General features: G+C 44.1%; 1 protein-coding gene across 1 annotated transcript, besides 5 other annotated features; it reads right to left on the bottom strand.

Moving 5' to 3' along the window:
- Positions 5,246 to 5,844: an enhancer, noted in NCBI's record as "OCT4-NANOG hESC enhancer chr15:60301179-60301777 (GRCh37/hg19 assembly coordinates)". NCBI's record gives its function as "activates a minimal SCP1, AML or CMV promoter by ChIP-STARR-seq in primed H9 embryonic stem cells {active_cell/tissue: H9 hESC(primed)}" and the evidence as "EXISTENCE:reporter gene assay evidence [ECO:0000049][PMID:30033119]".
- On the bottom strand, positions 7,380 to 10,513 carry FOXB1 (forkhead box B1). The gene is made up of 2 exons (NM_012182.3): positions 10,181 to 10,513; positions 7,380 to 9,917 (listed from the first exon to the last, which is right to left on the bottom strand). The coding sequence occupies exon 2, from the start codon at positions 9,858 to 9,860 to the stop codon at positions 8,883 to 8,885; it is 978 nt and encodes a 325-aa protein (NP_036314.2). The 5' UTR covers positions 9,861 to 9,917; positions 10,181 to 10,513; the 3' UTR covers positions 7,380 to 8,882.
- Positions 7,920 to 8,214: a silencer, noted in NCBI's record as "tiled region #13950; HepG2 Repressive non-DNase unmatched - State 4:PromP". NCBI's record gives its function as "represses a minimal TATA promoter and a strong SV40 promoter by Sharpr-MPRA in HepG2 cells {active_cell/tissue: HepG2}" and the evidence as "EXISTENCE:reporter gene assay evidence [ECO:0000049][PMID:27701403]".
- Positions 8,221 to 8,340: an enhancer, noted in NCBI's record as "active region_9503". NCBI's record gives its function as "activates an Ori minimal core promoter by ATAC-STARR-seq in GM12878 lymphoblastoid cells {active_cell/tissue: GM12878}" and the evidence as "EXISTENCE:reporter gene assay evidence [ECO:0000049][PMID:35858748]".
- Positions 8,421 to 8,500: an enhancer, noted in NCBI's record as "active region_9502". NCBI's record gives its function as "activates an Ori minimal core promoter by ATAC-STARR-seq in GM12878 lymphoblastoid cells {active_cell/tissue: GM12878}" and the evidence as "EXISTENCE:reporter gene assay evidence [ECO:0000049][PMID:35858748]".
- Positions 10,317 to 10,832: an enhancer, noted in NCBI's record as "NANOG hESC enhancer chr15:60296191-60296706 (GRCh37/hg19 assembly coordinates)". NCBI's record gives its function as "activates a minimal SCP1, AML or CMV promoter by ChIP-STARR-seq in naive H9 embryonic stem cells {active_cell/tissue: H9 hESC(naive)}" and the evidence as "EXISTENCE:reporter gene assay evidence [ECO:0000049][PMID:30033119]".

Below are 11,654 nucleotides of genomic sequence, written 5' to 3'. Positions count from 1 at the left end.
CAGTGGCACGATCTTGGCTGACTGCAGCCTCCGCCTCCTGGATTCAAGCGATTCTCCTGCCTCACCCTCCCCAGTAGCTGGGATTACAGGCACGCACCACCACACCCGGCTAATTTTTGTATTCTTAGTAGAGACGGGGTTTCATCATGTTGGCCAGGCTGGTCTCGAACTCTTGACCATGTGATCTGCCTACCTTGGCCTCCCAAAGTGCTGGGATTACAGGCGTGAGCCACTGTGGCCGGCTGAAGCCACCATATTAGAAACAAATAAGGTCTCAAGAACCCGGAGTGGGGGAAGTCTGACACAAAAGTGTCACATAAGAAAGGTCAAAACAAAATGCTACAACAAGGAGACAAAGCCTGAAGTTCAGATTTCTTGCCTGCTTTTCCATCCCCTTCCCCTCAATCTCCCTTCTTGGGAATTAGTCATTTCAAAGCAGTCAAAGAAACAAATTGGTCAACATCTGTTGAGGGCCTGAACCCTTTGGACTCAAGGCAGTCTGTCTGGAAGACTATTTGTTTGTAATTTGGGGGAAGATATCAGAAACTTAAGAAATGATTCCAATTCAAGGTGGATCTCTTTCTCTTGAGATCTGGGGTTAACCAATGACCATTCCCTCTAGTCGCACAAACTGCCCAGTACGCCCACTTCAAAAGGGTACGGCGGGCCATAGAGTATGAACTGCCTTAAAATCATGCACACTCACATTATCAGATAAAGACTTCATTTTGTCAATTTCAATACCTTCATAATTTTTTATTGTTAGTTGCATTTGTGTGGCATCTGTGGTAGGACTGAAGTTTTCTGCTTTACTTTACTTTTAGAACCTGACTCTGGTATTGTTAAATCACTGGGCTGCAGATAAGACAATATATCAGAGGGATTCACAAGTAAGTAAAATAAAGGTATTGGTTTACCTGGATCTCTCAGGACCTTTCTAACACTAACATTCAGTGCTTTCATGATTCTAAGTCAAGCCGATATTGCTCTGGGTTCCTGGTTGCAGGGTAAATAGCAATGGAAATATAAGAGCAAAAGCTGAAATCCTAAGTTAAATTACATTATTGAATTTGCAGGAAGCTGTTAAGGAATTCAGTATGCCAAAAGCTAATTTATTTTATGTAATTGGAACTAGTGTTTAGTTAGGTATAAAATATGTTCACTGCAACAGTCTTTGTATTAGCAAAAATAAACAAAACCTAAAAGCGTTCTAAATGCCCAAACAAAAAGAATTCACTCAGTGGCATATTATACAACCTTTAAAATCAATGGTTATTAAAAGTATATAGCTAGATAGGGAAATGTCTATGATATGCTGGAGAAAAGCAAGATGTAAAAATGTATAATACTGAAATAACTATGGAAAATATTGAAAGAAATAAATGATTTAAAAATATGCATAATGCAAAATATATAAAATATTTCTATAACAAAGTATTTTTACAGTACAAACTAAATTTCTAAATGAAATAGAACAGAACCAATTATATATTTAGAAATCAATATAAATCTGTCTCTAAACTACACCATTTCTCATTGCAGTGAAATTCCAAGTAATTATTTTACATGATTTATTCAGCATCTGTCATTTTAAGAAATGGATAATGTTTGGCTACACAGCAAAGAATAATTAGCACTATAATTAATCAAATTGCTGTTTATATTTCTATGTCAAAGTTAATCATTTTCATTTTCTTGTTTTATGTGAGGGGTTCTCTTTTACTGAAGCCAATAACATCCACAAGTAAACTTAAATGCATTTCACATGTTTTAATTTTACAAACTTAATACCACAGCAGAAACTTAATCTCAGTCAACATTCTCAATTACTGACACCTGGAGCAAAAGCATAGCGTTCTTACCTAAGCTAAACCAATAGGACTATTTTCAGAACGCTCAATCATTCAGTCATCAATTTTTCTGTGTTAGGCCCAGAAACTGCTGTGTTAAGCATAATCTGGACTAAACTGATAGAAGATGTTATCCTTGCCTGTTCTCCCTTATTCTCCCCTGCCCTTCCCCTGTTTACCAACACACAACACAAGAATGGGAATACAACTTTGCATCTTCTAGGCAGTCATAGAAATACTTGGTTCAGTCTGAAGAATCCATTCAACGTGGAAGGGCTGGGTCGTCTTTGGCAGTTTTTCTCCAATATGAAATCAAGCTAAGAATCTTCAGACAAACCATTATTTCAGCCTTTTTTTTTTTTGTAGTTCACCTGGCACCCAGAGTGATGTGGAACTTGTCAATGATCATTTTATTGTTATACATAGAATTTTAGTTTATCAAACATATGTAAATAAATAAAATATGTGTTGATATTTCCAAGCAAGACAGACATTTGCAGCTCTGGTTTCACCGTAGCAGGTTTAGTGGGGAAGTTCAGATACTCAGAGTTTTCCTGTTAAGTGAAACCATTCTTGGCTGTAATGTCTCTACAAGGAGCTGCTCTAATTAATGCAAAACACTAGATATTACTTAACAAATACTAAGCTTCTTCTAAGCACAAAATTAAAATCCTTTGCTGAACAGTTTCTCTATATGCTGTCATGTGCTGGAATTACCAATATGTTGTATTTCATGAAGAAGAGAGAAATCTGTAGCAAAAGCAGAGTTTGAAAGCAATTATTTCTGCTAACCAACTCTTTCGGTACTGTATACTTAGTAAACCCAGTTAACGGGGAACACTCATGGAGAGAAATTAACTGAGTAAATAAAAATATACAGGCTGCAAAGCATGAATTAGAATCACAATGTCTCCAAACAACAGATACTTAAAGAATGTGTTTTATCTCTGAGCTTATCTGCTCTAATTAATGCTCCAAGAGTTTGTTCCTTCAAAAGACTGCAACTGATTTGACATCGGTTATTTGCAGACACAGGCAAAAGGAGGCTGCACCCAAAGAATGCTTTGTCCGAATATTCTTGAAGATATTCTAGAAGGACAATCTTCCAGGGAAGATTTTAGTTAGCCAACGACATTTTTTCATGGTTAATCTCTGATTAGTTTATCATTAGTTCCAGTGAGTTTGATAGCCTATGGTTATATGCAACCAACTATTTTTTCAACATCTTTTTTTTATACATATATATTTATCTGGAGGTCTGAGCCACTTCCCCTTCTCAGTCCTATTCCTAGCTCCAGGCACAATCCCAAGAATTAAATGAAGAATAGTGTCAAATATGACTTTATAATTATTGAAGCTAACATGAAAAATGTTAAAGGTACCTGGAAATAATACCAGACAAAATTTAAAAACACAATAGAAAACCTCCAAATATATTCTCCTTTAGATCAGATCTCATTTTGATTTCAAGTTTGAGAAAAATTTCTTTATTCCTCTGCAATCACATCTTGAAAGTTGATAAGTCTACTTTATTTTTTCTTACACTGTCTCTAGAAATACCTCTAATAGTCACTGCAACCTTTCTACAATGTTGGTGGATAAAAGTCTACAAAGTTTACCTAAACAAAAACGTCAAGCATGGCAGGCAAAAGATAAAAGTATCCCCACAAGATTATCTCCGTTACCCTGACACATGTGGCTTATTTTCCCCACTCCAGGGATGAAAAATGAAAATGTAAGAGAATTCTCACTTGGAAATTCTAACCAAAGAGTATCCTCTCTCCTGATTTTAACATAACCTGTTTAACTATCACAGTGCTCAGATAGGGTAGCTAGCAGAAAGTGGTGTGCGAGAGAGAAGAGAAGAGACTAACAGAGACAGACAGGAGAGACAGAACAGGTGAGGTTGCAAGCTCAGCTATCTAGCCTGTTATGACACCAAAGACCAGATACATTTGTTGAAAGAAGAAAACTTGATGACCCGGATGTGATTCTGGTTTTTGAAAACAAGTAGTTAATGCAATCCAAGCCTAGCAAAGAGGTAGATTTGGAGATGTGTATGATATAATGATGTTTATATTGACATAGGTAAAGATTTGTTTAAATTAAACTTATTATCTCAGACCTGACTGTTGATCACCAAGAGTTCCTTGAGAATCCCAAGTCCCACATTGCCTGCTCCCACTCACTTTCTTCCCCTCCCCCATTTTTTCAGAAGCCAGAGGATGCCTGCTGCATCTTGCACTGTAGTGCAAACAGATTCCCCCAAAGAGAGAGGAAGATAAAATGAATTTAAATTCCAAAGGGGTTCCAGTGCCGGTTTCCTAGTCCCCGAGTCAGCAATGTGTTTGTGAAAATTCAGCCTTTTTGTCTCCCAGTAAAAAGGAGCTAAATCTACATCGGTGGCCCAGTCTCGGATTGCTATTCTTTGCATTTTCTATTCGAGTGAATGAGAGTGAATGAAGTGGCCGGGACCCTTCATTTGATCTACTCAATTGCATAAAGTGACAGAATTCTAATATATTTGTTTAATGCTCTTCAATGGGCTTTCACTTTTTTTGCTTGCAAATGAAGCATCCGTGGGCAAAGTTTCATCCCCCTTTAACACTGGGACATATTTCATAACTGAGGCTGTGGTTTGCAGTAATCTTGAGAGGAGTTTTAGACTCAAAAAGTGGAAAATAAAGAAACAGATGTGAAGTTATTGTAAATTCCTAGAGTGGGCTCTGGGGCTATTGTGCCTCCACGGCGGGCGGTCCAGGGGCTGCGCCTTTCATGCTGTAATTGAAACATATTAATTAGATAATTTGTTGTTAGTTTAAACGAAACAAATGCATCCCCTTTGAGGCTTCACAGCCGGTGGGTTGGGTGGTTTTTGTTTTGTTTTTGTTTGGGTGTCTCTGTGCATATGTGGCTTTTAGGAGAAAAAAATTAATTGACATTTATATTAAGAATTTAAGAATAGATCCTGATCCTTTCTGTTTCTTAGCTGAATACCTTTTACAAAGGGAATTTTCATTTGTAAAAGTATAAACCCGCTCCTCACCCCTACACTCTGCAACCCCCCAGTTCCCCCAGTCTTGCATAAACGAATGTAAATCTTACTCTCTGCAGCACCGGCTTGGACTCTTCCTCCCTCCTACTTCCCACCTCATCCTTCTTGAGCACCTGGCCATATTTATGCTTGCAAGACCCTCAGTGTTCTCATCTCTTTAAAGGAATTAAACTCACTGCTATAGTATTTAGGCCATTTTGATGATCATTTACTAGCACCACTCCTCAGGCTTTTCAAAACCCCCAAATCAGATAATAGAAACAGTGAGAATTTCTGCAGCTTCTCTCTTGAGAAAGTGCATGAAATTCATTCATTGTGTCAGCGCTTCCTCAAATCACAGAGAATCCTGTTTAAAAACTCAGTCAAATGCAGAATCATGTAAAAAACCAAAAGTAATAGAATAGCCAAGTTTCCAAATAAAAAACCCGAAATCTAAGAAATCAATACTACTTGAATTTACAAAATAGAAAAGAATATCACTTATCTCAGTTCTCAGGACAAATACCACACAGACATCTTCCCACTCCATGGTGTTGTCTCTTCCAGTTTTATTTTAAAGCTGTGTGTATTGACTTTGGACTTGAGCCAGGTGAAAAGATTTAACATGACAAAGAGAGCCATTGAAGGTATCATAGTTATAAACTTCCTTATTTGTGGGGCACTTCAGCTAAACAGGGCATAAGTCTCAAAGCTGGGGGGTGAGGCGGGGATGGAGTGGGGTGGAGGCATGTGTGTTTGGACTGCCTTTGGATTTCTGATCAAGGTCAAAATATCATCAATGGATTTTTTTTTTTACTTTACTCATTCAACTTTGTCTGAGAAAAGATGCCTGCATTTGTGAAAGGAGGGCTCACAATGCCCAAGTTATTTCATTCTTTGCAATACACCATGACGAACTTACCAGCTGAAAAGAGCATTTTCAAATACTGAGTTGAAATCTCTCCTTTGCTAAAAATCAGAAATAGGATCTGTATCTTATTTACCTCTAGGTATTAAATGTGCAGATGTACACATCACTCATCTCTGAATTCTAGTGCCTGTTGTAAGAGGAACATTTATTTAAGCTGATGATTTATAAAATGTTTGAGGCCCGTGTTAGCCCTCTATACTTCTTTCATCCCCAGCTTGAATTCAGTGTTACCAAATTCGATGAGATTAGCATATTCCAGAGATGGCCTTAATTTTCTTTTGCAGGAAACTGTGAAAACATATTTAATTTTTTTTAAAAAAATGTATATGATTTCTTGTTGAGAACAAAGTTTTAAGAGTTTCCTAGCCCAGGGCGGTTAAGTTTTCCAGGCTTTCTTTAGCTGATCTTGTTGATATAATTGTGAATTGGGCTTGATGAATGAGTTTAGTTGTCCCCTGTCTGACGAGCTTTAGTAGCTTCATGCATTTTAATCAGTCCAATGATTCATTTATTTTCCACTTTTTTTTTTTTTGGCTGTGTGTGGGATCCTTCTTTTTAAAAAATGGTCAGAACAGGATTAATTACCCTTTGCATTAATCCTAAGTTGTTTTTCAGGTAGTCCTCTAAATATATAATGGTTGCAGGTGCTAAGGATCCTCCTATGAAGTACAGTGATTGTGGTTTCTATGTGGCTCCCTCTGTGTTGCACAAGGGTCTCTTGTTTAATCATTTTACACAGTAAAGTGTTAATCACCATTTAAGTTACTCTTTGCCTTGTAACTTCATTAGGTGAATACACATCTCATTCTGGAAATATTGTGACCCTTTCAATAAAGTGTCAGTTAGCCTTGCGCCATAAATTCTCGGCAAATTTTAATTCTCTGCAAAAATATGAAGAAAAGCAAGTACTTAAAGTCAGGCATTTGAAGTAACTTCATTCATATCTTTAAAATAAGTGCATCAAGCATTATCTTCTCAGAGGAAGGAGTGAAAGAAATCTGTTCAGTTCAAAGTGAACAGGTATCTGGACATGAAGGTGAACCTCTAGGTAATTTCTATTTAAAAAATTTTAACAACCGCAATAATTTAAAGGAGCAAGGAACTGAATACTCACACTAAATAAGATGCATCAGAATATAAGCATTGAGTAAGCAAGTCTGTTTTTACTTTTTAAGTCTCCATATTTTCTACCTGATTTCTACATAAGCCTTATATTTATAAGTGCTATATTTCATAAAATGTATATTTCAATAAAGACAAAAATACATATAAAATACTTATTGTTTCAAAAACAGGTTTTCTTTCACCACTGCACCTGTGCACCTGATCTTTAATAGAAATAGTCTGTTTCCTTTTTCCCTATACACAAATACCTTCAAAATTCTATCTGAATAATTTCTCCCACAATCTCCAAGTGCATAAGAGGAGGTTTGACTGTTTTCACAATATGATATGAAAAAGGCAAATTACTCAGTGTATTGCAGAAAGCATGTTTAGGGAAGCATTACATCCATCTTTTGCAAAATTATTTGTAGCAACTCTTCAAAAACACACAAAACTAAAATTTGAATTTACATATTTTAATGAGAAAATATTATTTGGACTAGGTCATAATTTAATGTAGACACCCTTTTTTTTTAAATCCTTTGTTTTAAAACAGGCATGCTGGGAACAAGAACATCAATATTTAAAATGCCACGCTAATTCTGTACAGGGAGGGAAAATGAAAGGTAAAAATTTTACAGCTCTGATGACACTACAACTTTTTTTTTTTTTAACTTAAGCAGGTCACACCAGAACAACAGTTCGTTTTCCAGCCAATTATCTAAGATTCTAAAGGAATACAGCAAACAAAAGTGCATTTTACACAGTGTATAATCATTCCTATTCACAAGTATTTACATCTCTTTGCAGCCCTTTAGCTTCTTGGAAAAGTTCTGGTAGCAAACAGAAAGACTTGTCCGTGGGAGAGCTATCCGGTGACATCCCTTCATGTTACCAGTCAGCTTATCTAAGTTCTTCCCGGGTTGCCCTTGATGCTTTCTTGGTTTGGGCTTATTTCATTTTCTTTCCTTCTTTTTTTTTTTTTTTTTTCCCAACAATAAAATAAATAGCTAAAAAGGTCTCTAAGTCATCGGAAAGTTAACATCCCAATTAACTTTCCCATCCCCACTTCCCTCCCTTTCTAAACCTGGCCAGAAATGAAGAGTAAACATTCACATTACAACAGGTACTTATAATGTGGGCTTTGCCCGTTCGTCCGCCTAGCAAGACAGATTCAAGTTCACTGTTTACATATTACTGGGCGCTTTGTAAACAATACAAGGTTACTTTTAGTTTTGTTTTGCTGTGTGAGGACGAGCGTCGCTTTCTCAGCTTGGCAGCCTCTTTCCTAACTCCCAGCGCCTGGAGCCTCTGGAAGGAAACAAAACCCCAAACAACAACAAAATCTCCGCAGAAGCCTAGGAGGCAGGGCCGCAACCCCGGGAAGCTGTGGTCGGCCCAGCCCCTGCCGGATGGGCGGAGGCGAGTGGGGTAGGAAGATTAGTGGCTCCTTTTTGCTGCAGATTTCCAAGACGTAAAGAGATCCGGCCCTCCCCTGCGCTGTTGCAGCCCTCGCGGGGAGGGGGTGTGGGGGGGATCTGTTCCTGGAAACATCTGAGGCAGTTTCTCTAGTCTTGAAACTGCGCAGAGTTCGGGGCTCCGCCGATCTGGGCGGAGGGAAGACGCGCTTTTCTCGGCGAAGAGGGGGTGACAGGGTTTCCCCCGCCGGTCAAATAGGAGGGGGTTTCGGGGCCTCAGGGAGGGGATGGTTCGGCTCAGGTGGCCCCGGCCTTCCTTGATGTGGGGGCGAGGACAACTCCCACGCGCCTCTCGGCCCATCTGCAAGTTTGTGTTTGGTCTCCTGGGTCCAAAACAAAGTTCTCTTGGGGCAAGGCGGGTTGGCCGAAGGTGAAATGAACAAGTTAGGGTGGCGGTCCCAGGTGGGGGCCGGCAGGACTGGGAGCCAGGGAAGGCGAGTGAGGTGGTGGGGAGGAGAACGAGAGGGGGCGTGGGCTCCTGCGGGTCAGTGCACCGCCACCGAGTGCAAGGCGGAGGCCGGGCTGGTGAGCGTTTCGCTGGGGGTGGCGGGGCTGCTTTGGCTGGTGGCTGTTTGCGAGGACGTGGGGCTGAGCGAGGGCGGCGAGTTCGAGAGCAAGGTGGGGATGGGCGCTGGCAGCGCAGGCAGCGCGGGCACGGCGGCCGGCGTGGGCTTAATGGGCACGGGGATGGCGGGCAGCGTTTGGCCCGCCGCGTGGCACAGCGGCTTCAACGGCACGCCGTAGGCGCTGTAGTCGCCACTCGCCATGGAGATGGGGGTGGCCGAGTCGATCATGCCGGCGGAGCCATACACGTGTGGCCAGCCGGTGCCCAGCGAGCTGCCCATGGTAGTCAACTGGTTGGGGAGCGGGTAGGCAGCGGGCACCGGCTGCATGGCGGAGAAGGCCAGCCCCCCAGGCATCTTGTATTCCCGCGCGATGATGTTCTCGATGGCGAAGGGGTGCTTGAAGCCCGAGGGCTGCGCCACGCCGCCCAAGTTGTAGGCGGCGGCGGGCATCTGTGGCAGGTGCGTGCCCGAGGCCGCCAGCGCGCTGAGCCGCAGCTTGGCCTGCTGCTGCAGGTACTGCGCCGCGTCGGCTGGCTTGCTGGGCGCCAGGTGGTCGGACTTAAGCACCTTGAAGCGCTTGCGGCGCCGCAGGAAGCTGCCGTTCTCGAACATGTCCCCGCAGCTTGGGTGCAGCGCCCAGAAGCTGCCCTTGCCTGGCTGGTCCGGCCGCCGCGGGATCTTGATGAAGCAGTCGTTGAAGGAGAGGTTGTGGCGCAGACTGTTCTGCCAGCGCTGCGTGTTCTCCCTGTAGTAGGGGAAGCGGTCCATGATGAACTTGTAGATCTCGCTCAGCGGCAGCATCTTCTCGGGAGAGCTCTGGATGGCCATAGCGGTCAGCGAGATGTACGAGTAGGGCGGCTTCTGGTCGCTGTACGTGTTGCGGCCGGGCCGAGGCATCTTCTTCCTCGCCCTCTTCTTGCTCTGGGTCCGCGCGGGCCGGCGGACTGCTCGGATCTGGGAAGGGGGTGGGTAATAGGGAAAGGTAGCATGGATGCACAGAGACACCGGCGGGGTCAGCCAGACCGAGTAACAGACTTCGGGGGTCGGGGGTGGGGCCTGCGGCGCTCGATCAGCCAGCGCCCGGACTCTTTCGCCAGCAACTTTGCGGGCTTAGTGGGCGCGGGAGGGGAAGCCGGCGAACGGCGCGAGGATAGCCGGGAAGTAAGTCGGTACTGGGGCCAGAATAGGGGGCAGGGACGGAACAGAGAGCTGCTCACCTTAAAGTTGCTTCAAGTTGCGCGTCCGCATCCGGGAGGACGCCGCTGCGCGCCGCTTCTCTCTCGGCGCGCACTCGACGCGCACTCCGCGCGCAGCGTCCGGGTCCGGTTGGACTCGGCGCGAACCTGGGCTCTTGAGCTCAGCCCCGCAGCGTCCCGTGCCGCCCGGTCCGCGACGCTCCTGGAGCGTCCTGCGGGCGGCCGAGCTCGGCTGCGGAGTCCCGGCGCGGATGGTGGCAGCGACGTGTTAGGGCTCCGGAGGGCGCTGCTGTGGGCTCCGCGTCTCCGCTGAGCTAGGTGGCTGCCTCCATGTCCTCCCTCGAACCATCTGATAGTTTTAAGCGGTGACAGGAGCAGAAAAGACCCCTGTAGCGGCGCTTCATTAATGTGCCACTTCTTAGCTATCATATGACAATCGCCTTGGGAGGAGGAGGAAGAGGAGGGGGAGCGGGGGCTGCAGAGGGAGGGGACTGAGCGAGAAGGGAGAGCCCGGCCAGCTCTGGTTTCTTTCACACCTATTTACATGGACACCTTGGCCAATAGGAATCACTTCCAGCTCAAGACTGGGCGAGGGGGAAGAGCCTCGGCCACTGGGCAGGCAGCTGGACGCGCCGGCCGGTGTGCGCCGTGTGAAGGTATGAGGAAGCGGCCGCCGCGGAAGAGGGAGCCAGGCGACCACTCACGTTCACAGATGGAGCAGCCGCGCGGATGATGTTTGACATGGAAATTGCTTGGCTGGGGTATTCTGTTTCCTCTGCGTTGTATCCGGTTTGTATCGTTAGGTAACTTTAGGCACGGCTTTCCCCTGAAGCCGACCCTTTTCCTGCGCTTAGCACTACCCGGGGTTGGTTGCATGGGTTATAATAATGAAAACACACCCTTGCCCCCCAGTCCCCGGAGAGTTAGGTCGAAATTTGACTTGACTTTCCTATGCAGCTGCTTCAGCTTTGTATAGTTAGTGTGTAGCTTTGAAAAAGTGATGGGGTTTACAAATACTTTCAAAATGTGATTGGACATCCCCATGTAAGAACCCATTTTGAATGTAACTGTATTGACCAAATTTTTAAAAATTAAAATAGTGTATCTGGGCGAAGAGTCCAGGTATTTGCTTTAAAAGTCCTCCGGGAATTTGGTTGGACACAGGATGGAGGCTCAGGAGCTGTTGGGGCAAATGTTGTGCGGACCTGGGGAGGGCCTGAGTTTGTTTGACACAGTTTATCACCAGGTAAGCCTCAGGGGCTCTCGCTTTTCCCAGGTGGTTTGAAACTTTAGGACTCAGGCACATCCTGGAAGTTTTCATTTTACACCCGGAACTCCCCTTCCCAGCCCTCCCACCCCCCCAACCTCCCACCCCCCATCCCCCAACTGCCGCTTTTTTTGGTATGGAGAACTTATTTAGGATTTAGAGTGTAGCAAAAGCCGCCTGCGATCCCACTAAGACAGCAGTATCTTCTACAACTTGGGGAAAGAACCA

The sequence above is a fragment of the Homo sapiens genome, chromosome 15 (genome assembly GCF_000001405.40).
Source record: "Homo sapiens chromosome 15, GRCh38.p14 Primary Assembly".
NCBI lineage: Eukaryota > Metazoa > Chordata > Mammalia > Primates > Hominidae > Homo > Homo sapiens.
The sequence above is the reverse complement of the archived record's forward strand: the minus strand, read 5'-3'. Positions and strand labels throughout refer to the sequence as shown.